The 27,044-nt window shown below is 40.8% G+C and overlaps 1 protein-coding gene across 53 annotated transcripts in view, besides 2 other annotated features; it reads right to left on the bottom strand.

Annotated features, from left to right (window-relative positions):
* NUCB2 (nucleobindin 2) overlaps nucleotides 1-23,853 on the bottom strand; it is a 73,242-nt gene extending 49,389 nt beyond the window's left edge. For 4 of the 53 annotated variants that reach the window (XM_024448532.2, XM_024448550.2, NM_001352669.2 and 1 more), the window contains exons 1-5: nucleotides 23,764-23,853; nucleotides 17,649-17,803; nucleotides 13,875-13,958; nucleotides 5,125-5,268; nucleotides 4,381-4,488 (exon numbers count right to left, since the gene is read on the bottom strand). In XM_024448532.2, coding sequence (XP_024304300.1) covers nucleotides 4,381-4,488; nucleotides 5,125-5,268 — 252 coding nt within the window. In that variant the 5' untranslated portion in view covers nucleotides 13,875-13,958; nucleotides 17,649-17,803; nucleotides 23,764-23,853. Of the gene's footprint in view, nucleotides 1-4,380; nucleotides 4,489-5,124; nucleotides 5,269-9,226; nucleotides 9,353-13,874; nucleotides 13,959-17,648; nucleotides 17,804-23,294; nucleotides 23,570-23,739 lie in introns of those variants that run through there. The other 49 variants (XM_024448533.2, XM_024448551.2, NM_001352664.2 and 46 more) reach the window with 18 other exon arrangements.
* Nucleotides 23,590-24,019: a silencer, noted in NCBI's record as "silent region_3183". NCBI's record gives its function as "represses an Ori minimal core promoter by ATAC-STARR-seq in GM12878 lymphoblastoid cells {active_cell/tissue: GM12878}" and the evidence as "EXISTENCE:reporter gene assay evidence [ECO:0000049][PMID:35858748]".
* Nucleotides 24,210-24,299: an enhancer, noted in NCBI's record as "active region_4487". NCBI's record gives its function as "activates an Ori minimal core promoter by ATAC-STARR-seq in GM12878 lymphoblastoid cells {active_cell/tissue: GM12878}" and the evidence as "EXISTENCE:reporter gene assay evidence [ECO:0000049][PMID:35858748]".

Raw genomic sequence — 27,044 nt, 5'->3', positions numbered from 1 at the left:
TGCTGCAACATGAATGAACCTGTAAAACATTATGCTAAATGAGAGAAACCAGACACAACAAACCACTTATTGTATGAGTCCACATATATGCAATGTCCAGAACAGGCAAATCCACAGAGATGAAAAGTAGATTTGCTGTGGTTGGGGAAAGGGGCGCAATTAGGAGTTACAGCTTAATGGGCACACAGTTTCTTTTGGGGAACAATGAAAATATTCTAAAATTAGATAGTGGTGATGATTTCACGACTCTGTGGGTATATTTTAAAAAAACTATTGAAATGGCAGGGTGCAGTGGCTCCCACCTGTTATCCCAGAACTTTGGGAGGCTAAGGTGGATAGATCGTTTGAGCGCTGGAGTTTTGAGACCAGCCTGGCCAACATGGCGAAAACCCATCTCTGCTAAAAATACAAAAATTAGCCAGGTGTGGTGGCACATGCCTGCAGTCCCAGCTACTCAGGAGGCTGAGATAGGAGAATCGTGTCAGCCGGGAAGGTGGAGGTTGTAGTAAGCTGAGATCATGCCACTGCACTGCAGCCTGGGCGACAGAGCAAGACTCCATCTCAAAAAAAAACAAAACAAAAACAGACAAAAAGACACTGAATTTTATCCTTTAAAAAGATAGATTTTATGGTGTATGAATTATATGTCAACAAAGTATTTATTTTTATTTTATTTTATTTTATTTTATGACACAGGGTCCAGTCTGTCACCCAGGATGGAGTGCAGTAGCATGATCATGGCTCACTGCAGCCTCAATCTCCCAGGCTCAAGCAGTCCTCCCACCTCAACCTCCCGAGTAGCTAGGACTACAGATGCATGCCACCATGCCTGATTAATTTTTGTATTTTTTGTAGAGACAGGGTTTTGCCATGTTGCCCAGGCTGGTCTCGAACTTCTGAGCTCAAGCAATCCACCCACCTCAGCCTCCCAAAGTGCTGGGATTACAGGTGTGAGCCACCGCACCTGGCTTGTTATTTTTTTAAAAAGTTAAGTTGGTCAGCACCATTAGGGCAAAAAAGAACATTTAAATTAAGTTAAAAGTCAGTGGGCCTCTATAAGCATTAGTCATTCCATATATAAAAGCTTTTCAAAATTTATCTTTTTTAGGTCTCTTTTGATTACTTTCTTCATAGATGAGTAATTAGTAGGAAAACTAGGAGAATATACTGTTACAGAATCAAAAAGAGCAGTATATTTCAAGGAGAGAATAGTCATTATTATTAGATAAAACAATGGTTGTCAAAATGTAGTCCCCAACTGGAAGCATCAGCATCACCAGGGAACTTCAGAAATGCAGGCTCTAGAGTTACTGAATTGGACACCCCGAAGGTAGGAAACAGCAATATGTTTTAACAAACCCTGAAATCTAAAAACTATTGAGAGAAATAAAGGAGCCCAGTAGAATGAGGAATCAAAGATGTTAGGATGTTCACTAGATTTGGCAATTAAGAAGTCATGGATGCCCTCCATGAAGGTATATTCAGTGGAACAGTGAGGGCAGTACCATCACCTTTCCAGTTAGGGAATGTTTGGGAAGTGAAGAAATGTAATATGATTCTCCTTTCAAAATGCTTAGCTGAAAAGGAAAGAGAGGCCGGGCATGGTGGCTCACGCCTATAATCCCAGCACTTTGGGAGGCCAAGGCAGGGGGATCATTTGAGGTCAGGAGTTTGAGACCAGCCTGGACAACATGGCAAAACCCCATCTCTACTAAAAATACAAAAATTAGCCAGACAAGGTGGCCCACACCTGTAATCCCAGCTACTTGGGAGGCTGAGGTGGGAGGATCACTTGACCCTGGGAGGCAGAGGTAGCAGTGAGCCAAGATTGCATCACTGTACTCCAGCCTGGGTGACAGAGTGAGACCTTGTCCCAAAACAAAAAAAAAAAGGAAAGAGAAAATTCTAACTTTTTTTTTTGTCAGTTTTTTATGAAACAGAAGTCTTTGCTTGGCTATTTGTGATGATTCTATTGGTTTGCGTTTTATTGTCTAGTTTTACTCATTTTTTTTTCTTTTTTAAGAGATGAGGTCTCGCTCTGTGTCATGCGGGCTAGAGTACAGTCATATAATCATGGCTCACTGCAACCTCAAACTCCTGGGCTCGAGTGATCCTCCCACCTCAGCTTTCTGAGCAGCTGGGACTACAGGCACACACCACCACATCTAGCTAATTTTTTCTATTTTTGGTAGAGATAGGGGTTTCACTATGTTGCCTAGGCTGTTCTTGAATTCCTGGGATCAAGTGATCCTCCCGCCTTGGCTTCTCAAACTGCTGGGATTACAAATGTGAGCCACTGTGCCTGGCCTCAGATGATTTTTTTTTTAATTTGAAGGATAATTTTTAATTAAATTAATTTTAAATTTTAATTTTTTGTAGTGACAGGGTCTCGCTATGTTGCTCAGGCTGGTCTCAAACTACTGGCTAGAAGCCATCCTCTTGCTTTAGTCTCCCAAAGTTACACGTGTGAACTACTGCCCCGGCCCCCCTTTTTTTTTTTTTTTTTTTTTGAGACGAAGTCTCACTCTGTTGCCCAGGCTGAAGTGCAGTGGAACAATCTCGGCTCACTGCAACCTCTGCCGCCCAGGTTCAAGCAATTCTCCTGCCTCAGCCTCCCGAGTGGCTGGGATTACAGGTGCCTGCCACCACACCCGGCTAATTTTTGTATTTTTAGTAGAGACAGGGTTTCACCATCTTGGCCAGGCTAGTCTTGAACTCCTGACCTCATGATCCACCTGCCTCAGCCTCCCAAAGTGCTGAGATTACAGGCGTGAGCCACCACACACGGACCCTCATTTCTTTTTTATTGTGTAACTGTTTAACTTCATTTTGGTTCCCCCTAACCCTTCATAGAAACAGGAATTGAATGTGAAAGGAAGATAGTTATAAAAGTATTCCCTGCACCAATCCAGGAAGCTTATTTTCTTCTTTTGCCTGAATATCTCTATGTAGTATCTCCCATGATCCACATTTTCTATGTCACCCCAAATAACGTTCTTACTCCTGATACAAGACATTAAGAGTTCTACATCAGATATATTCACCATAGGAAACTTGTTCCACAGATCGAATTAATCCTTCAGAAGAAGAGTAGGATTATCCTCAAAGACAATTCCGGGGAATTATTAGCATAACACTATTACCTTTTCCCCAGAAAAGTTCACAACTTCCAAGAGGAGAGCTGCGAACTAAATGCCACACCTGAGCGCTGACAGACACCACAACCTAACGGGAGTCAGTCTTTCAAAGAAGTTCACACCAAGAACAGAAACTAAAATAAAAGGTTTGTTTGACCCAGAATGAGTCTTTCAAACACAGTTCTCTTATTCTGATTCTAGAAAAAAAGCAACGTAATTTTTTAAGAAAGTAAAACTTAAATAAATAAAGGTAACATAAGCAAACAAAATTATCTTAGGAGACATTATTGGAATTTTAAAATTAACTGGATTTTTTTTTACTCACTGAGTCTAAGATAAACCCAGCTAAACTGATTCATTTCCTTTTAAGGAAAGACTTTACAAGAATCTCTCATGTCAGATCTTTACAACCCCCTTTCTTATTATGAGTACTGAAGAGCTGACTATGGCTGGAATTATGTCAAATAGGGTTCTCAGGACAGAGTCAAATGGTTAAACCTCTCTGATTGATATAATACATAGCCCATTATCTCTTCTGTTAATCTGGACCTGATTAAAACACCAGGACCTCACCTATTCCAAACTTTTGAATAACTTCCTACTGTCCTCAGATAATGACCCAAACCCCTTAACATGATATACAGGCCCTCTGTCAACGAGACTGTGATTCTTTCCAAACCTCATCTTTTGGCCACTCAGGCCTCCATTTCCCATTCTGGGGTCTAGCCACAGTTACTGCTTCCAGTTTCCCATATACTTCTTGCCTCTGTACCATTGCACCTTTGTCTAGGATGCCTCCCAGTACCTCTCCTTTTCTCACTACATCTTTAAGCTCTGGCATAATCTCTATTAGGAAGAATAACTTCCCACCTCGCCCCACTGCTTCATATTAGATTATGTGTCTGCCTTCTGTATTTCTAGATTAAATACTCATCATATAATCCATCCTATAATCTATTTCTGGATATGATTTTCCCTTGAGGGTTCCTTAAGGGCTGGGAATAAATCTCATCTTTGTATTTCTGGTACTTAGCTCAGTGCCTGGCACGTGCAAATGTTTGTTAAATATTTAAGCCAAGCATGGTGGCACGCACCTGTAGTCCCAACTACTGGAGAGACTGAGGTGGGAGGATCACTAGAGCCCAGGAGCTCAAGGCCAACCTGGGTTATATGGTGAGACCTCATCTCTAAAAAAATTTTAAATTAAGATACATATATGTATATATTATTGAATTGCATTTACCTTTATTTCCTCTATGTCTGCTTTCTGGAGCTTTTCTCTGAAGTGTTTATCTGTTTCCAGCACATCAATCACTTGCTTGAGATATTCATCATAATAAAGTCCAGTATCCTTCAAATTAAGAAACCAACAGTAATGCTTCTGCAGGTTTTTCCTTGTTTGAATCTAAAGAGGTCAATCCTGTGAAACAATTTCTAGCAAAATGGCATTAAGACATATTTACTTTGATAGTTTCAACAAAGTGAAAAGCTATATTTCTGAAATAAATAGTTTTATATCAGAACCAATATCATCTTTTATTGTTACTTAAAGGTAGATTTTTCTTTTTTACGACACTCTCTAGTCCAGTAGATTTTCTATATAGTTCAGACAATGAAGATTTTACCACTTTGGTTTCTCCCCATTGTTATCTGCCTCTGCTTTGAATATAATACAGTGTTTTCTTGGCTAGTCAGGTCTGTGTTGGAAATGTATTACGATTAATTCTTCTATCTAATATACTAACTATATTAAATAAATATTGTGTAATGGTAAACAGCATATGCTTGGCCAATACTCTTTTCACTGCTATTTCAGAAATAGTTCCCAAGTGTACAATTTTATAAGTAATAAATATTAGCAATATTTTTGTTATAATTCCTCTCATTTCATTTAGTTATAGTTTCACCTCATTCCACCTCATTTAGTTACAATTATAATTCATTTCATTTAGTTATAATTCCTCCCATTTCACTTCATTTCACTTACTGGTGGTTCTATCTTCGCACTTTCCACAGGGTGAATATTTTGTACTTTTGTCTTGTCTATGTCAATAGGCACAGCTTCAAGAGCAGTAAGTAAACATGTAATCAAGAGAAAGCAATACTGTAGCAGGATGGTCCTCCACCTCATCTGAAATAAAGGAGTAATTATGGTAAAGTCATGAATAATGTTTTAACTCTATATACATGCATTCCGAATGTCACATTAATCATATATTTAATCTCAAGAGGTTTAATAAAACAAAAAAAAAATTATAGGAAAGGAAAGAATAGATTAAAACTTGTCAAAAATAATGCTTAAAATAGATCACTAAAGAAAATCAAGGGAGAAATGTTTTTGTAGCCAAAATTAAAAAGACAGAATACAATATTTTAAACTGTTTTTGTTTGTTTGTTTGTTTGTTTGAGACAGAGTTTCACTCTTGTTGCCCAGGCTGGAGTGCAATGGTACGATCACTGCTCACCCCAACCTCTGCCTCCTGGGTTCAAGCGATTCTCCTGCCTCAGCCTCCCAAGCAGCTCGGATTACAGGCATGTGCCATCACACCTGGCTAATTTTGTATTTTTAGTAGAGACGGGGGTTTCTCTCTTTTGGTCAGGCTGGTCTCGAACTCCTGACCTCAGGTGATCCGCCCGCCTTGGCCTCCCAAAGTGCAAAGATTACAGGCGTGAGCCACTGTGCCCGGCCTATATTGTTTTTATAGTATAAGAAAACATTTGGCTAATTACAAAAGCTTCAATCTAGCCATGGCTTTTTTTTTTTTTTTTTTTTTTTAAGGCAACACGTTTTACCCACAGAACACCATTTGGAAAAGAACACATAACCCCATTTTCACCACAACCCTAGGTGGTACATACACAGGAGAGTGACACATTTTACAAATGAAGAAATTAATAATTAAACCAATTCCCTTACAGAGCATTGTCTTGCCATTAACAAACCACTAAAACTTACATTTTACTATCTTTATGCCAATTTTTTAGCATCTTTATTGAGATATACTTCACGTCATAAAATTCACCCATTTAAGTACAGCATATGTCTAATCTATAAAGATGCTACCCAAAGTTTAGTTCTCAATCTTACAAAATCTTACAAGATCATCTGAAAGCAGATCAGAAATGCAAATTCTCAGGCTGTACCCAAGACCTCTGGGGTGGGGGCCAGGAACCTGTTTTAACAAACAGGGGGTTCCAGGGGGTTCCTATGTATACTAAAACCTGAGATCCACTCATCTCTAGGATACTAGAATCTCTAATAGGGTAGTATACTTCACAGAATGTCTTCTCACTATGAATCACCTCCTCTTCCCCACAATTACTTTTAATAACAAAAAAGGTTTATTATTCATTCATGCTTCTTGTCCACACATACATAGGTGTGCATTTTGGGTTTTTTGAGATATAACTCATAAGGCATAAAATGTTTTAAATTATACTATTCAGTGTTTTCTAGAATATTCACAAGGCTGTGCAACCATCTCTACTATCTAATTTTAAAACATTTTCATCATCTCAAAAAGAAACCCCATACCCATTATCAGTCACTCACTGTTACCCTTTTTTCCCATCCCCTGGCAACCACTAATCTACTTTCTATCTGTATAGATTTGCCTATTCTGGGCATTTCATATAAATGGAATTATACAATATGTAGCCTTTTGTGTCTGCCTTTTATCACTTAGCAGTATGTTTCCAGGTCCAACAACATTGTAACAAGTATCAGGACTTTATTTCTTTTTTATAGCTGAATAGATAGTCCATTGTATACATATGCCATATTTGTTTATCCATTCATGAACTGATGGACATTTGGATTGTTTCTTTCAGGCAGTTTTGAATAATACTTCAGTAAACATTTGTGTTTAAGTTACTTTGTTAACAGGTTTTCAATTCTTTTGGTTATATAACTAGGAGTAGAATTGCTGAGTCAGTTTGGTAACTCTAAGTTTAACTTTTTGAGGAACTGCCAAACTGTTTTCTAAAGCAGCTATATCATTTTACATTCTCACCACCTATAAATGAGGGTTCTAATTTTTCCATATCTTCCACGTGTTTTTGTCACTTCTGCTGCTCTCTTCCTCTCCTGCCAAGACTACCATAAATAAGAAGGAAAGTCAAGAGAATGTGTTTGTATACATGAGTGTGTGTGTGTATGTCCTAACAACACCTGACAACATCTTTTTTTTTTTTTTTTTTTGAGACAGAGTCTTGCTCTATCGCCCAGGCTAGAGTGCAATGGCCCGATCTCGGCTCACTGCAACCTCTGCCTCCCGGGTTCAAGCGATTCTCCTGCCTCAGCCTCCCGAGTAGCTGGGACTACAGGTACCCACCACCACGCCCAGCTAATTTTTGTATTTTTGGTAGAGCTGGGGTTTCACCATGTTGGCCAGGCTGGTCTCGAACTCCTGACCTCAGATGATCCACCCAGCTCAGCCTCCCAAAGTGCTGAAATTACAGGCATGAGCCACTGCACCTAGCCGCTGACAACATCTTGAAGTGACAAAGTCACAAAAAGTTTCTGAGAAACTGCTTTAAAACACTAACTGAATTTATGGTTCCTAAAGATTTAATTGATCCCCATGCTTATTATAAATAACAACAGAAACCATCTATTGAATGTTTACTATGTACCAAGCAGTATGCTAAACTTTTAAAATATATTAACGCATCAACTCTTACAATGACTCTGTGAAGTCAATATTATTATCCCCATTTCAAAGTACAAGAAACTGAGACATATCACTTCTAGTTCACACAGCAGTCAGTCATACAGCTAGAGTGTAGACCTGGGAGTGACTGACTCCAAAGCCTTTGTTGGCTTTTCAGGAGTGGTTCTCAAAAGTATGGTCCCTGGGCCAGCAGCACTGGCATCACCTGGGAATTTGTTAGAAATGCGAATTCTCAAGGCCTACTCCATATTTTCTAAATCAGAGACTCTGGGTGTAGGGGGCCTCACAATCTGTTTTAATAAGCCCTATAGGTGATTCTGATACATGCCAACATTTGAAAACCACTGCCCTAGAACATACTGCCTCCCTTTGCTCTATTATTTACCAACCTCACCTACAATGAGACAGAAAGAGAATGCTCATCTCAAAGGTAAACTTGGATCTTTAAAAAATAGAAAGTGGGAAAAAAGGAGAAATAGAAAGTGGGTTTTACACCAAGCAGTAAGGCAGAACTAAATTTAGATCTATATTCTAGTTACAGCTGCACCACTTACTTGCTATATGATCACAGGTTAGCCAATTAACTTTTCCCACTTCAGTTCCCTCATTTATAAAAATAAAAAAAATTTTAAATAAGAGAATTTAACTTGAACTTAGTATTACTTAAGTACTTAAATTCTATTATCTATTTATTCTTTTTAGTACAGATCTTTCCTGTTACGTAATCAGAAATACTAAACAGAAATAAAATTAAAAAAAAAGAAAAGCTGCTTGTATTCACACCATTCATTTAAAATGATTAAGTTATATGACTTGTAAATGCCTTTAAACTAAATATTGCTTACTCAGCCAGCTTAAAATTATGTTGGTAAAGCAAATAGCAGGCCTGGTTGCTGAGATACAAAGATTAACAACAAGGAAAATGAACTAGCAAAGAAAGTTCATATCTAGACACAATAAAAATGATGTAAAGCCAGGAAAGTTTCACACTTTGGAAACAAAATATGGAACATTATCCTCTCTGATCAAACTGAGAATTTGCTTCTGTGGAAGCAGAAACAAAGCTCCTCCTTGATTTCAGGTTTAGAGATTGTCAGACTTACATTTCATTCAAGCTGGATTTATTTTTAACTTTTGCAAGAAAGAGGACAATGAATTGTGACTGCCATTTCAAAGCCAAAAACTTTCACTTTTTGATAATTTTAAAGGACAAAAGACTGATTTTTTTTTTTTTTTGATGCAGAGTCTTACTCTGCCACCCAGGTTGGAGTGCAGTGGCATGATCTTGGCTCACTGCAACCTCTGCCTCCCGGGTTCAAGTGATTCCCCTGCCTCAGCCTCCAGAGTAGCTGGGATTACAGGTGTAGGCCACCATGCCCAGCTAGTTTTATATTTTTAGTAGAGACAGGATTTTACCATGTTGGCCAGGCTGGTCTTGAACTCCTGACCTCAGGTGATCTGCCCGCCTCAGCCTCCCAAAGTGCTGGGATTACAGGCCTGAGCCACCGTGCCCGGCCAAGACTGATATTTTTAAGGAGAAATCTGTTTAAAAATAAAATACAACAGAACTGATTAATAGTAAATACAGCCAGAAGCAAGAGGACACATATTATACGATTCAATTTATATAAATGTGGAAAATAGGCAAATCCACAGAGAAAGAAAGCAGATTACAGGTTGTTGAGGGCTGCTGGTGGAGGGAGGGGAAATGAGAAATAAGTGCTAAATGGGTACAGGGTTCCTTTTGGGGGTGATGAAAATATTCTAAAATTAGATCGTTGAGATGGTTGCATAACCTTATGAATATACTAAAAGCCAGTGAATTGTATACTATAAAAGAGAGAATTGTATGATATGTAAATCATATTTCAATTTTTTTAAAAGGAGTAAAAATAGAGCAAAAAAATCCAAGTTTATAAAATGTGAAAAATTTTAAAAATACAATTCATGAACCACTATTCACCTTCTACACTAGTCATGCTTATAATTTTTCAAAATTATCCCATTTTCTATGTTCTCAATGATTTTTGTTTGCTTGTTCTACAATCACTAGAAAAGCACATGAAAATCTTATATCATGATTTTGTCTCTTTTTCCTTATAATTCTGTTAATTTTTATTCAAATATTAGGTATATATATATAAACTTAAGATTTTCTAGCTTTACAGTAAATTTAATCTTTTATCTCATGACTGACCTTTATATCCCAACCATATTAGTATTTTTTTTATTGTTTTTTGAGACAGGGTCTCAACATGTTGCCCAGGCCAGTCTCAAACTCTTGGGCTCAAGCAATCCTCTTGCCTCAGCCTCCCAAAGTGCTGGGATTAGAGGCATAAGCTACTATACCCAGCCTCAATTAATGGAATATGAAAATTGTAATTAGCCACATAGCAACAGCAACATAGTCTTTGTTATGTGTACATGCATGAACTTTATTATAGTTATTATTATTGTCATAACTTCAGATTGAGTTTTTGCATTGTTGGTGCTTGTCATTGTAAATATCTTCATAAACATTAAGCTATGATTTGGCATTAAAATGAAAAGTTATTTTGTAAGCACAGAAACAAAGCAGCTGATGTTAGTGAAGCAAATACTTGATATTAGGGGAATAACAGCAATTTTACTCTTTCTTATAAAGGAACAACTAGTGCTTTACCTGACTCTAGACAGGAAGATACCTGCAAGTAGACAAAGCCATGTTACGTTTTGTTAGTAAAACACAACAGGATTACCTATCAGCAGCCAAACAATGCAAATGAAGATAGCAGAAACCAACTATGCCTCCAATAAATAAAAAAACTCAAGGAACATGAGGCTGAATTGATGGACTCATGCAAATGTCAATTTGTCAGGAACTTCCTGAAAATACTGAACAGAAGCTGCACAACTTCCAGCAAAGTATAGTTTAAGGAAAAAATAAAGCTGAGTTTAGTCAACAGGAAATTCTGACAAAATCCTGATGTTCTTTTACATGCCTCAAAATCTACATTAATGCTAAAGGTGGTAAAAAGATTGATACGAGAATGGTCAGAAAATAACAAATCACTGTAACATTGCTGTAAATGCCTACAGCCAAAAGTTGTTGCCATATTAAACATTAAATTATAAAATGATTTCCCCCAAGATGTTATATTAAGCATTTTTAAGAAGTATGGGGTTGATGGATGGTGGCTGAGCTAAAGGAAGAGTAGCTAAATCTGATTTGAATGTTGAAGAGCACTACATAACCTGACAAGTGTGTTTATTAGTTTAGTTCTTGATACATTCTGAGAGCGTGTATCTGAATAAAGAATAGGTTGCCTGAAAAGTAATACAAGTTGGTGTGATTCATGAAGGCCAGCCCTCCAGGTCTTCATCAATGAATCATTTAAGGAGAGTTTGAGGAAAGACTATGAATCTGAAAACTTCCTGTCATCATCTTCTGATAAGATGAAGAAAGCACCAGCACCAAGCTTGTAAAGCTTGTAAAATTAATATAGGGTGCTTGGAAGAAAATCTCTAGCAAAAGGGTATGAAGAGGCTGGGCGTGGTGGCTCACGCCTGTAATGCCAGCACTTTGGGAGGCCAAGGCAGGCAGATTGGTTGAGGTTAGGAGTTCAAGACCAACCTGGCCAACATGATGAAACCCTGTCTCTACTAAAAATACAAAAAATTAGCCGGGCATGGTGGCACACGCCTGTAGTCCTAGCTACTCAGGAGGCTGAGGCAGGAGAATCTCCTGAACCTGGGAGGCAAAGGTTGCAGTGAGCGAGACTGCACCAGTGTATTCCAACCTGGGCAACAGAGCAAAACTCCATCTCAAAAAAAAAAAATATATATATATATGTGTGTGTGTGTGTGTGTGTGTGTGTGTGTGTGTGTGTGTGTGTGTGTGTGTGTGTGTGTGTGTGTGTATATACATGTTATTAAATAGACTTTAAGGGCCAGGCACGGTGGCTCATGCCTGTAATCCCAACACTTTGGGAGGCTGAGGTGGGTGGATCACCATAGGTCAGGGGTTTGCAACCAGCCTGGCCAACATGGCGAAACCCCATCTCTACTAAAAATATGAAAATTAGCCTGGAGAGGTGGCGCATGCCTGTAGTCCCAGCTACCCGGGAGGCTGAGGCAGGAGAATGGCTTGAACCTAGGAGGCAGAGGTTGCAGTTGCAGTGAGCCAAGATTGTGCCACTGCACTCCAGTCTGGGCAACAGAATGAGACTGTCTCAAAAAAAAAAAAAAAAGAAGAAGAAGAAGAAGAAGAAAAAGATAAAATAAAATAAATAGGCTTTAAGATTCCATTGGGCTGGGTGCAGTGGCTTGCACCTGTAATCCCAGCTATTCAGGAAGCTGAGGTAAGAAGACTGCTTGAACCCAGGAGTTCTAGGCTGCAGGGAGCTATGATTGTGCCACCTTACTCCAGCCTGGGTGACAGAGACCTCAGGGTGGGATAAAAGATTCCATCGATATTAAGACACACCATTGTATACTATATAGAAAAAAATGCTGCCAATTAAATTACACCACCGTGCTTTTTCACTTACAATTCTATCTTATGTTTGCTGAAAGTATTTTTAGGCATATCATAGATTTTTCTCACATCATTTTTATGCACACATAAAGAAATTAAACGAAATAAATTGATAAAGGTATTCTAAGGACTTCTTCACCTTTGTAGTCCAAGTATTTTTAAACACTTTCTTGAATTGTTACCTTTTGTGTTTTCCCATACAACACTGTTCTCTCTACCGGGGAGAGGAATGGTGATTTCTTCAAGCCATTTTTGTTTTTTGTTTTTTGAGACAGAGTCTCACTCTACTGCCCGTGCTGGAGTGCAGTGCCGCGATCTCGGATCACTGCAACCTCCACCTCCTGGGTTCAAGCGATTCCTGCCTCAGCCTCCCAAGTAGCTGGGATTACAGGTGGGTACCACCACACCCGGCTAATTTTTGTATTTTTAGTAGAGATTGGGTTTCACCATGTTGGCCAAGGTGGTCTCAAACTCCTGACCTCAAGTGATCCATGCAACTTGGCCTCCCAAAGTGCTGGGATTACAGGAGTGAGCCACCACATCTAGCCCTTAAAGTTGATTTAATAACGTATCTTTTTTTTTTTTTTTTTTTTGAGGTGGAGTTTTGCTCTGTTGCCCAGGCTAGAATGCAGTGGTGCAATCTTGGCTCACTGCAGCCTTCACTTCCCAGGTTCAAGCGATTCTCCTGCCTCAGCCTCCTGAGTAGCTAGGACTACAAGTGTGCGCCACCATGCCCTGCTAATTTTTTGTATTTTTAGTAGAGACAGGGTTTTGTCATGTTGGCCAGGCTGGTCTCAAATTCCTAACCTCAACCAATCTGCCCACCTCAGCCTCCCAAAGTGCCGAGATTACAGGTGTGAGCCACCACGCCCGGCCTTAATACCATATCTTGATTTTTAAATCTACCACCTTCTATAGGGCTTTTTTGTTTTTTGAGACAGGTTCTCATTCTGCCACCCAGGCTGAAGTGCAGTGGTGAGCTCACAGCTCACTGCAAATTTGATTTCCTGGGCTCAAGAGATCCTCTTGCCTCAGCTTCTCAAGTAGCTGGGACCACAAGCAAGCCACCATGCGTGGTGATATATATATATATTTTTTTTTGGTAGAGTTGTGGTTTCATTATGTTGCTCAGGCTGGTAGGGCTTTCTATTTATCCTACCTCTTTAACATTTATTTCCTCTCCTTTCTTGCCTTTTAAATTTATTTTTGATTGATGGAGAATGTTTTCTACTAGTTTCTAATCTGTTAGTGCTTATTCTAGACATAACTAGGACAATTAATTTAAACACTGACTCTAATTCTTAATAAGGCCTCCATAAACATCAACTGTATTTAAAAAAAAAATGGTAAGTATTCCAGCACATTAGGCAGAAAAATAATGACACAAAAGTCTCTTTAAATGCCAAGATGTCAAATGTGTCTGCATTAAAGGAATAACAGCAAATTTACTAGGTTTACAGATTTTCATGAATGAGAAAATATACAAATATCCATATAGAAGAAAGAGATGAGTGATAAGGACAGGCAATAGGAAGAAGGAGAACTAACCTACTTTTCTTCCACTATCAGGTCAGTAAGAATGGCCTTCTCCTTTCCTTTATCACCCTCTTCTTTCATAAGAGAGATACGGACCTAAAGAGGAGACACTGGGCTGAACCAGGCTGAAACAGTAGACTCATCCAAACCAGGACAGGCTGATAATTTACTCTCTAAAGTAGGATGGTGTGAAATTCTAAATTATGTAGTCATCTCAAGACAGAATGGGAGGCACTGACCCCAAAGGCATCAGAGCCTCTGGTAAAATTACAAAGTAAGCAGAGTTCTTAAGCTTCTCTTAGTATTCAGTAGATATAATTTCCTTAAATTTTAAAGTCCTAAAAGAAAGCTAATCTCTCTTCCCCTGTCTCAACCAAGTCAAAATTTCTATTCTGCTGGGCACGGAGGTTCCTGCCTATAATCCCAGCACTTTGTGAGGACAAGGAGGGTGGATTCCTTGAGCCCAGGAGTTCAAGACCAGCCTGAGCAATATGGTGAAACCTCTGTCTCTACAAAAAATACAAAAATTAGTTGGGCATGGTGGCACATGCCTGTAGTCCCAGCTACTTGGTGGGGGATGAGGTGGGAAGATCACCTGAGCCCAGCAGGTTGAGGCTGCAGTGAGCCATGGTCACGCCACAGCACTCTAGCCAGGGTGACAGAGTGAGAACATGTCTCAAAAAATAAAATTTCCATTCATACACAGAGGCAGATTTCTTAGCTACTGATTTATACCCATAGTTATACAGATTAAGTTTGCTTTGTGTGTGTGTGTGTGTGTGTGTGTGTGTGTGTACGCACACGTGCGCGCATGTATGTGTGATGGTTTCCTGTTTTGATTGTTGGGCAAGATATCCTGGAAGTGGTTAAAAAAAATTACCATAGATAACCAGGGTGAAAAGTACAGAAAACTGAAAATTTTCTCTTTCCTTGGAAGTAGTCTCTGTTCCTCCTTTATATATCTTTTTTTTTTTTTTTTTTTTTTTGAGACGGAGTCTCACTCTGTCACCCAGGCTGGAGTGCAGTGGCGCGATCTTGGCTCACTGCAAACTCCGCCTCCCGGGTTCACACCATTCTCCTGCCTCAGCCTCCTGAGTAGCTGGGACTACAGGTGCCCGCCACCACGCCCAGCTAATTTTTTTTTTTTTTTTTTGAGACAGTGTCTCGCTCTGTTGCACAGGCTGGAGTGCAGTAGTGCAATCTCAGCTCACTGCAACCTCCGCCTCCTGGGTTTAAGCAATTCTCCTGCCTCAGCCTCCTAAGTAGCTGGGACTACAGGCGCATGCCACCATGCCTGGCTAATTTTTTGTGTTTTTTTTAGTAAAGACAGGGTTTCACCATGTTGTCCAGGCTGGTCTCGATCTCTTGACCTCGTGATCCGCCCGCCTCGGCCTCCCAAAGTGCTGGGATTATAGGCGTGAGCCACCTCACCCAGCCACGCCCGGCTAATTTTTTTGTATGTTTTTAGTAGAGACGGGGTTTCACCATGTTAGCCAGGATGGTCTTGATCTCCTGACCTTGTGATCTGCCCGCCTTGGCCTCCCAAAGTGCTGGGATTACAGGCATGAGCCACCGCGCCCAGCCTCTTTTATGTATCTTTTTCCATCTTCCTCAACCCTCTTCTTTTGCCCCTCTTCCTTTTCAATTAATGGCTGAATTGAAGCATGTTTCCTTTAACCTATTATAAGTATGTATGTATGTATGTATGTATGTATTGAGACTTTGTTTCTAAAAACAAAACTAAACTAATATTTATGTATTAAGTAATGACTATGGTACCAGATACTATGCTAGAAGACAAAGGTAAGCGAGATCGACATAGTCCTTACCCTCACAGGGCTTCAATCTAGTGAGGAAGGTAAGCTATTAAATACAATTGCAATTTTTAAAATGCTGCTTACAAAACAATGCATAGCATGATACTTTTCTGTTAATTAAAAAAAATTAAAAGTCATGAAAATGGTATTCACCAAACAGACATTCTCAGTCAGGTGATTTATAACGTTAAATGTCTCTTAAAAACTGGGTTGTTTTTATGGTCACAAGTCTCCTGATTATTTTGTTTGAGGTCAACAAGTCTAGATCAGAAAAAAGGAAACTGCAATACTAGCAGCAAAAGAACTACTGTACTTTGTGCCTATCTAATACAACCAAAAAATGTAAAAACTTTCAAAAATACAAATATACTGTGTAGAAATAAAATCTTAACTTACTGTCTCCCTTCTAAAAACTCTAAAAGATTGACTGAATCTTTAGAATCTTTCTCACTCCAATTTCCATTCCCTGAATTTCTTTTTCTCAAAGCTATTTATTTCAGTTTACTTTTGAAATAGAAATAATGACAATTGAACCATTTTGCAGGACAAGTATAGGGTATATTTATATAATATTCACAAAGAAAAGTCTGGAAGGGGCTGGGCACGGTGGCTCACTCCTGTAATCCCATCACTGTAGGGGGCTGAGGCAGGCAGATCACCTGAGGTCAGGAGTTCAAGACCACCCTGGCCAACATGGTGAGACCCCATCTCTACTAAAAATACAAAAATTAGTTGGGTGTGGTGGTGGATGCCTGTAGTCCCAGCTACTGAGGAGGCTGAGGCAGGAGAATCGCTTGAACATAGGAGGCAGAGGTTGCACTAAGCCATTGCACTCCAGCGTGGGTGAAAGAGTGAGACTCCGTCTCAACAAAAAAAATAAAAGTCTGGAAGGAAATAAAATATTGGTGTGGCTAAATAAGTTAAGCAAGAACTAGTAGTAAGAGAAAATTTCAAGACAACTAACAGTTAAGTGGTTAAAAAAAGAAGAAAGGAAAGAAAAAGAACAAACTACTTTTAGCTAGCAAGGAAGGCAAGTGTTCCTCATGTGACCATAGTGAAATGTATCTTGAGATGAATTATATTTACTTTCAATATAAATTTACTTCCTGATGATTAGTTATGTGATACCCTTGGGATAACTTATCTCTGTCATTTTAGTGCCTTGATTATAGCAAGTAGCTCAATAAATGTTAGCTCTTTTTAACACAACCATAAAATGTACAACAAACATCTATTGAGCATTTATGGGTAATTTTAAAAAATAACCAGAACAAATCCACAAATAAGACAGAAAAGCTTCTATAATGAATTAAGGGCTAAAAGTAAAAACAGAAACACAATTTATTACATGAAGATTATTTCCTTCTGTAGTTAATAGTCAGACTTATATCTCTGCCATGGCAAATTATAGAAGCTTCTATGAGTGGTTATCACAGCTTACAGATTTCAGAGCTGAAAGATAAAAAGATTCATATCATGGCAGACACTTCTATTTGCTTGCCAATATCCAAATCTTTCCTTCCTTCTCAGTAACAAAAGCCCAATTTTATAGAGGGCAGACATGCAGTCAGCTACATTTCCCTGCTTTCTTATAGCCTCAGCCTTGGTTCAGGAATTCTCCTTAAAGGAAGAGGATGCATCTTTCTTCGCCTATGCTTTGCTGCCTGGAACATGACAGTGATGGTTAGAGCTCTGGCAGCTATCTTGGACATACAAGAACCAGTACTACAAGAATGTCTTAGGGATCACTGATAAAAGAACTGAAAGAAGCTTAAGTCTCTGATGACTTTATAAAGCCACTATACCCATCCTAGAGTGCTATTTCAATTATTATTTTATATAAAAAATAAATATTGCATGTTTAAGCCATCTGTGAGTTCGTTTTTGGTTTTTCCTTTTTTGTATTTTGGTGGTGGTGGTAGTGATAGTCATGTTTCTTTGCAACCAAATGCAATTATTGAGTACTTACGTTCAGGCAGGTAAATAATTTTTATCTCCTTTTTACAGATGAGACAACTGAGATCCAGAGAGGTAAGATGACTTGCACAATACCAAAATAGTGAAGAGATGGGTCTTGGCTCCTAGCTCAATGTTTTTTCACTAAAAACTGACTCGTAACACGTTCTAAATGTAAAAAAAAATAAAAATAAATAAATAAAAGACACAAAATCACAAAATTTAGACTTTTTACAGTGGTAATGGTACATGATAGTGTATGCATTTGTCACATAATGTGAAAAGTGCCAAATTTTTATGATGTGGAAGGAGACTAAATTATATCATATTCCATTAAGGAGGGGAGAAAGATACATGAAATAAACAGAATCAAAAACCGGAATAAACAAAGATGTTGGCCGGGCACGGTGGCTCCTGCTTGTAATCCCAGCACTTTGGGAGGCCGAGGTGGAGAGATCACCTGAGGTCAGGAGTTCAAGATCAGCCTGCCCAATGTGGTAAAACCCCATCTCTACTAAACAAATACAAAAATTAGCCGGGCATAGTGGCAGGTGCCTGTAGTTCCAGCTATTCAAGAGGCTTAGGCACAAGAATCGCTTAAACCTGGGAAGCAGAGGTTGCAGTGAACCGAAATGATGCCACTGCACTCCAGCCTGGGTGACAGAGCGAGACTCTGTCTTGGGAAAAAAAAAAAAAAATATATATATATATATATATATAGATAGATAGATAGATAGATATAGATATAGATATATAGATATAGATATAGATTTATTATGCCCAAATTTTCCTGTATTCCTCCACTCTTGAATAACTAGGAGGAATTCAGATTAAAAGCTTATTTTTTTCAGCAATGAGACTTCAAGATATAGGGCAACTTTTCCTGTTAAATCCTTAACTGGAATTTTTCTTTACTCTTACCACCAATTTAAAAAAATTAACTTTGTTCCTAGTTTGTCACAGAGATCAGTAATAAGATGAAATATTTCAAATTCTTTTTTGAAACCCCACCAAATAACATGTAAAACATAAATCAGCTCATGTGCAAACTCATTAGTAAACATAAGCAGTTATTTCTAAGTAGTCTGTTAAAAAAAAAAGCAAATAAAATATTTTCAAATTTTAAGGAGACATGTATTTCTTGTTTTACATATGGTATATTTAACATAAAATAATCTATGCAGGAGAGTAATCACATGCATGTTGTATTTTGGAAAGTTATATGACTTTTATTGACACAACATGGTAAAAAATAAACACACAAACAGGAGATTAAATCCTAACTTCCCCCATTTACTCGCAAGCTACTTGCCTCTGAGTCTTGATTTTCCTACCTAGAAAACTGAGCTCATACCTCTTCACAGGTTTGTTGATGCGAGGAAAATAAGAATGAATACAAAGTAACCAGCACAGTGCATGACAATGGTAATTGCTCAATAAATATTAATGCCCTTCTTGTCTTGAAAAGGAAACATAAAGAAATATGAAAATCTGTTCTGTAAACACCCAAAGTGGTAGAACTTAAAAAGCAAGACCAGGTTGGGCATGGTGGCTCACACCTATAATCCCAGCACTTTGAAAGGCTGAGGCGGGTGGATCACTTGAGCCCAGGAGTTCAAAACAAGCCTGGGCAACATGGTGAAACCCCACCTCTACAAAAAAAAATCAAAAAATTAGCTGGGTGTAGTGGTGTGCACCTGTAGTCCCAGCTACTCAGGAAGCTGAGATGGGAGGGTTGCTTGAGCCCAGGAGGTCGAGCCATGCATACCAATGTACTCCAGCCTGGATGACAGAGAAAGACCCTGTCTAAAAAAAATAAATAAAATAAATAAATAAAAATTAACGACACAAAAAGCAAGCAAGACCAGTTTGACATACAACTTTAAAAGTAATTTTTGTTTTCGTTTTTGTTTTTTGAGACAGGGTCTGACTCTACCACCCAGGCTGGAGTACATTGGCGCTATTTCAGCTCATCAAAACCTCCACCTCCCAGGCTCAAGCCATCCTTCCGCCTCAGCCTCCAGAGTAGCTGGAACTACAGGCACGCACCACCACGCCCAGCTAGTTTTTAATATTTTTGGTAGAGATGGGATTTCACCATGTTGCCCAGGCTGGTCTCAAACCTGTGAGCTCAAGTGATCTGCTCACCTTAGCCTCCCAAAGTCCAAGGATTACAGGCCTGAGCCATCATGCCCGGTCTTACAGTCATTTTTGAAAGGCCACATTAGAGCTCTTCTCTGAACATTGCCAGAACCAAAGTCCTGATGCAATCATAGACCAATGAAAGCAATGCATCCAACATAATCTCTTCCTTCCAACCTTAAATCAGAACTGTAGCAAGAGACTCAGGTTTCCTTCTCTAAGACACTGCCTTGAGCTAGGAAACGTGGATTGCTTCTTCTTACTATCAATGTCACAAATCTAATGATGAAACAGGGTAGGGTGAAGAAAAATAAACGGCTTTTGAGTTTCTCCATGGCACCAGTTTCAAAGGCCACAGATAACCTGGTGCTCACCTCCATTTTCCCTTTGAAAATGAAAGTCAACAGGAAAGTGAGGTTCAAATAAAATATCAAGTGTATGACCAGCTGAGTTGGACTCCAGCTTTTCCCTGATCAAGACATTAGTATAGATCTTAGAGCCTCTGTTGTCTACATCTGTAGAAAAGGACACTCATCAATGAAACTATTATATCTCCTTTTTTTCCAGTCTTAACAACGGATTGGAGTATCCTAGATTATAGGCTTATGAAAAACAGATCTGTATCACTCAATAAACATATTATTAAAATTATAATCTCTTTATTATTTACATATACTGTACTTCAGATAATTAAAATACACTGCCAAAAAAAACTCTGCCAAGGCCAGGTGTAGTGGCTCATGCCTGTAATTCCAGCACTTTGGGAGGCCAAGACAGGCAGATCGCTTGAGCCTAGAAGTTTGAGACCAGCCTGGACAACATGGCGAGGCCTCTTCTCTACAAAAAAATACTTAAAAATTAGCAGGGTGTGGTGGCATGCTCCTTTAGTCCTAGCTACTCAGGAGGCTGAGGTAGGAGGATCACTTGAGCCTGGCAGTTCCAGGCTGCAGTGAGCCATGATCACACCACTGTACTCCAGTCAGCCTGGGCAACAGAGTGAGGCCCTGTCTCAAAAAAAAAAAAAAAAAAAAAAAATGCTCTGCCAAAAATAAAATCAAGTAACTACTATCTGAACTTCTATTAGGCTGCTTTAGGATTTTAGAATCAGAGAATTCTAAGATCAGAAATAATCTTGGAGGTACAGTAGTCCTCCCTAATCTGCGATTTCACTTTCTGCAGTTTCAATTACCTGAGGTAAAACAAGATATTTTGAAAGATCACATTCATATAACTTTCATTTCAGTGTATTACTGTTATTCATTTTATTATTATGTATGTATAGCAAAAAACATAGCGTATATAAGGGTTGGTACTACCTGTAGTTTCAGGCATCCATTGGGACCCTTGGAACATATCCCTCTAGGATAAAGGAGGACTACTGTAATCTAATTCAGCCCTACTTTTATAAAAGGTTATAAATACAGAAGGAAGTTAACTGACTTGGCCAAGTTCGTTTGGCAGAGCCCGTACTGGAATCTGGCCATGAAATTCTAACTAAGTATACTTTTCACCACATCATGGTTGTAAAAAAAATTTTTGATTGGAAATAATGAAAGTGATTGAAGTTTTTCCTTGAATAAATTATTTGAAATTGTTAGTAGCCTGTTTTTTGTTTTGTTTTTGAGACGTAGTTTCACTCTAGTTGCCCAGGCTGGAGTGCAATAGCGCGATCTCGGCTCACTGCAACCTCCGCCTCCAGGTTCAAGCGATTCCCCTGCTCCAGCCTCCTGAGTAGTTGAGATTACAGATGCCCGCCACTACGTCTGGCTAATTTTTGTATTTTTAGTAAAGACGGGGTTTCACCATGTTGGCCAGGCTGGTCTTGAACTCCTGGACTCAAGTGATCCACCCGCCTCAGCCTCCCAAAGTGCTGGGATTACAGGCATTAGCCACCATGCCCGGCCTAAAGGATTATTTTCAATACATTTTTAAATCCTGCACTTGCTTCTGCCAGCTACCCAGTACTCAAAAGGGTATTTTGTAGAACCCAGCCTTCAAAAGGGTCCTTAGAAAGTGGAAAGTAATTTACATATTATTCTAAGTAATGCAAAATTAGTTTAGTATGTGTTCAGAGATTAATAACATATCCCAAAACAAAAAAGACATCTGAATTGATGTTATTGATATTAGTGCCCATAATTAGTTGTGTCTTGAAAAGTACCTTAATTGTCTTAATTGTGCATTTTATCTCAACTGTTATTCACAGAGCGCAAACCAACTTGGCAAAAAGCATGCTGAAAGAATATATACAAAATACGTGATATGAACAATATGTACCTTGGGAGAGCAAAGAAAGGTAAACACAACATAGACAGATTCGACTCTTAGAACATGGGTCGTCCAGGCACGGTGGCTCACACCTGTAATCTCAGCACTTTGGGAGGCCAAGGCAAGTGGATCACCTGAGGTCAGGAGTTCGAGACCAGCCTGGCCAACATGGTGAAACTTCGTCTCTAATAAAAATACAAAAAATTAGCTGGCTGTGGTGGTGGGTCCCTGTAATCCCAGCTACTCGATGGGCTGAGGTAGGAGAATCCCTTGAACCCGGGAGGCGGAGGCTGCAGTGAGCTGAGATCGGGCCATTGCACTCCAGCCTGGGTGACAGAGTGAGACTCCATCTCAAAAAAAAAAAAAAAAAAAAAAAGATGGGTAAAATTTGGATAGAGAAGAGCATGAGTAAACACACGGAGACAGAAATAAATTTTTGCCTCCTTTAAGTTTCTAAAATTGTCTAGTTAAAAAAAAAATTTGACCCCCTACTACAAAGGTAGATGAGATCATGGAAAGCTTGAAGACCACGATGAGAAATAGAAGTTTCCATGTTCATCCTAATTAGGAGAGTGACATTATTTGAGATTTCATTTCTAATTCTAAATTTCCAGAATTTTAATTTTTGACCCTATTAGCTGAAGAAGATTTGTTGAAATATTTGTTCAACATTTGTTGAACTTATTCAAGTTTCAAAAAACAAAAACATTCCTTAAAGCATCTATCTCATCAATTCTTTAACTTTCCCATAGGGAAAGTCCACAATCTCCCTCAAACAAAATTCACTATCAGAAATATTTGCATTTAACCTCCCCTATTTTTAAACCAAGGTAATATCTTTTAGTGTTCATATTCGTCCACGGATTTAACAGAGCCTTAGTAGCAGGCTTAAATGGTAGCACTAGCTTATTCAATTGCATAAAATGTACATTATTCAATTTAGAAGTTTAGCAGACATAGAATTTCAAGAGGTTCTGTCTCTCAAAAATCATAATGGTTCCCGTTCATTCTCATTCCCTCATATTCTCTCTCTCTCTCTCCTTCTTTCCCTCCCTCTCCCAGCCATTTGATACTGTAAAATAACTGTCATCTAAGACCGTTGCAAACACCAACCACAATAACCATATTTGCTCACTGAGTTGCCACTTAGCAGGTGCAACAAGGAAATACTGTTTCTCATCTCCTAAAACCAAAAGGGTTCATCTCGTACCTAATTTGTCACTTAAGTGAAAAGCATATCACGACTTACACTAACTTTCTCCTAAGTGTCAGAGGTTGCTGGCTTAACCAGACCGGAGAAGAGCAGGATCCCCGGGCCTAGCTTTGCTGAGCGGCACAGGGGAGCATCGCCTGGAATTGGTGGGTGTCCCTCCTCACTAGTGGGCACCCCCTTGCCCATCGACCTGCCCAAACCCGAAGGGACCCCGCCAGGGTCTCGGTTTGGCACCTACCCTCTCCTGCTCCCCGCCAAGAGCCAGCCACCCTCCTCGACCCCGAAGAAAGCTCGGGTGCCCAGCTGCGAGTGGAGCAGAGGGAACCCAGCGCCTCCGGCTCGCGCTGGGAGCCCCCTCCCCGCCGGTGCCCCGCCCACAGCACGGCCCCCACCATCCTCTCTGCTCTGGCAAGGCAGGCGAAGACCGGAGCCTTATCTCCGGACTCCCCCACCCCTAATCTCCCGCCGCGCTGCTCCGCACCTACCGCGCGGCCACCGGCCTTACCTGGCCGGGTCTCGGCGAGCGAGGCTGCGCCTGGTGCTTGCGTCCAGCGCACAAACCTGTCCTCCAGCCCCCGGCCCACCGCTCCGCTCTGCCCCTCCTCCCGCCGCGCGCGCCCGCCTCCTGGCTGCCATGGCGACAGTTCCCACACTCTGCGGCCGCTGATTGGTCCGGTTCGCGATTGCTGACGACGCCGATTGGCGGGAGCAGGGACAAGGCCGCGCCGGGGAGCCTGGAGGCGGGCGGTGAGGAGGGCCGAAGCTGTGGAGCCTGGTGGGAGGCTGAGCCAGGAGGGACGTGGCGCTCTGAGATGCGGGCTCAGGAGGCCGCGCCTCTTCCTTCCCTAGCTTACCCGGAGAATCCTGTGGAGCAGGACTCGGGCGGGTGAGGTGCCGTCCTGAGACCCGGGCAGAGCCCCAGGGATCGCCTCTCCCTTGGCCTCTGGCCTGCGCCTGCAGCGCCCACGCAGGTCGGAGAATGGCTGTCAGGCCTATTCTCGCCCACAGGCCTCGCTCGGCTCTGACACCCCCGTCCTCCGCCTTGGCGGGAATCTTAACGGCATTTGTAACCGCACCCACCCCCGTTGTGCTGGGCCCTCGGTCACTGTGGTTTAACTGTATTTACCCACCTTCTCTCTTGCCCATTCGCAGACAGCTCTTTCCTCTGCATCCTGCCCCAGAGAACAGACATCTATTCCAAACCCCTCATTTTAAAGATGGGGAAACTGAGGCTCAAAGATGCACATGGGTAGCTTGAGCCTTCCAGAAGCTTTTGGAGCCACAGGCTGTTTACGAAGTTTCATCCTGCCGATTAGTTTTTTTCACCTGAAAAATTGGTATCATATCTACCTTAGGGTTATTCACGAAGATTGAATGAGATAACATTGCCAGGAAAACAGTACAGACTAGGCATGGTGACTCACCCTGTAATGCCAGCACTTTGGGAGGCCAAGGCAGGAGGATGGCTTGAGCTCAAAAATTTGAGACCAATCTGGACAACAGTGAGATCCTATCTCTACAAGAATATTTTTTACTTTTTTATCTTTAACACAATGATGTTTCAGTCTGAAGAAAATACTTAAAAATTTGCCAGGTGCTGTGTCGCACATCTGTAGTCCCAGCTACTCAGGAGGCGGAGGCAGAGGCGGGAGGATCACTTGAGCTCAGAAGGCCGAGGCTGCAGTGAACCATGATCATTGTGCCACAGAGTGAGACCCTGTCTCAAAAAAACAAACAAACAAAAACACACAGTACAGAATCTGCCACATAGTATGTTAGCAATGAAAGCTTCTGTTATCAGGAAGTACTACCAGCCAGATTGCCTCTGTTGCACAACTGGACTCTGTGTGCCCCTAACCGTGTAATTTGCCAGTTATTTAAGTGCTCTCTGCCTCCATGTCCTTGTCTGTAAAATGAACATAATAACAGTACCCTCCTACTTACAGCATAGCAAATTAATTTAAAAAGTGACTGGCACATAGGAAATTTTAAATAAATGTTAACCATTCTCAGATTAGTGGCTGAGCTGGGACTATAACTTAGGTCTCTAGATTTCAACCCAATCGTATTTATTTATTTATTTAGAGATAGAGTCTCCTTCTGTTGCCCAGGCTGAAGTGTAGTGGCGCAATCTCAGCTCACTGCAGCCTCAACCTCGCAGGCTCAGGCAATCCTCCCACCTCAGCCTCCCAAGTAGCTGGGACTACAAGCACACACCACCACGCCTGGCTAATTTTTTGGCATTTTTTTGTAGAGACGGATTTTTGCCATGTTATCCAGGCTGGTCTCGAAGTCCTGGACTCAAGCGCTCTGCCTTCCTCAGCTTCTCAAAGATTAGAAGCGTGAACCACCACACCTGGCCTCAATTATCTTTACTAACACTTCTCATCCACATACATAGATCAGTACCTCAAGGTTAGGCTCCTTTTTGAGGTTCAGGAGAAGAGGACCCTCCAGCCTGGGCGACAAGAGCGAAACTCCGCCTCAAAACGAACAAACAAACAAGGGTGAACTCCTAGGAGCAGGAGACTGATGCAGGACAGGAAAGCGCCAAAATTGAGGATTCTTGGCTTCACCCAGTAAAGAATTCAAGCGTGAGCTGGTGGTGTTAAACAGCAACTTTTATTGAAGCCGCAGTACCCGGCAGCAGCAGAGCTACTGCTCCTTGCAGAGCAGGGCTACCCTGTAGGCAGTGTGCCCAGAGCAGCAACTCAGAGGCAGTTCTGCATTCCTGTTTATACTGATTTTATTTTATTTTTATTTTTATTTATTTATTTTGAGACAGAGTCTCACTTTGTCACCCAGGCTGGAGTGCAGTGGTATAGTCTCAGCTCACTACAGTCTCCACCTCCTGGGTTCAAGTGGTTCTTCTGCTTCAGCCTCCTAAGTAAATGGGATTACAGGCACCCGCCACCACTCCGGCTAATTTTTGTATTTTTAGTAGAGACGGGGTTTCACCATGTTGGTCAGGCTGGTCTCGAACTCCTGACCTCAAGCAGTCCACCCACTTCGGCCTCCTAAAGTGCTGGGATTCTAGGCATGAGCCACTGTGTCTGGCCCTATACCCACTTTTAAGTATATGCAAATTAATGGGCAGTTTATGCAGAAATTTCTAGAATGAGGGTGGCATCCTCCAAGTTGTCAGGTCATTGCCACAGAAAGGGGCCATAACTTCAGGGTGTTGTCATGGCAATGGTAAACTGACATGGCACAGTGGTGGGCGTGTCTTATGGGGAGGTGCTTCTGTTCCAAACCTGTTTCAGCTAGTTCTCAATTTGGTCTGGTGACCAAGCCCTGCCTCCAGAGTTGAGTTCTGCCTCCCGTCTCAGTACCACCAGCTTGCCTAAGGAGGCATGAACTGGTCCAGGTTGGAAACAGAGCAGGTCAAAAACTCCTTTCCTGATCAGTAGTGGGATCACGCCTGTGAAGAGCCACTGTGTTTCAGCCTGGGCAGTATAGCAAGACCCTGTCTTGTCTAAAACAGTTCATTCGTGTGCACAATTGGAAAAAGCTGCTTTTAGAACCAGATAAATTGAATGGGAGACCTTCTTTATGTTTGTCCTGGTTTCAGTCAACTAAAACCCTCTTTTCCCCGCTTTTCTTTTAGAGATAGGGTCTCACTATGTTGCCCAGCTAGTCTTGAACTCCTGGCATCAAGCAATCCTCCCACCTCAGCCTCCCAAAATGCTGGGATTACAGGCATGAGTTACTGCACCTGGCCTACGCCTGTCTCTACAAAAAGAGCTTTTTATAAATTAGCTGGGAAAGAATCCACAGACCCTTTGA

The sequence above is a fragment of the Homo sapiens genome, chromosome 11 (genome assembly GCF_000001405.40).
Source record: "Homo sapiens chromosome 11, GRCh38.p14 Primary Assembly".
Classification (NCBI taxonomy): Eukaryota; Metazoa; Chordata; class Mammalia; order Primates; family Hominidae; genus Homo; species Homo sapiens.
Note: the sequence above shows the minus strand (reverse complement) of the source record. Positions and strands in the feature narration are given on the sequence as shown.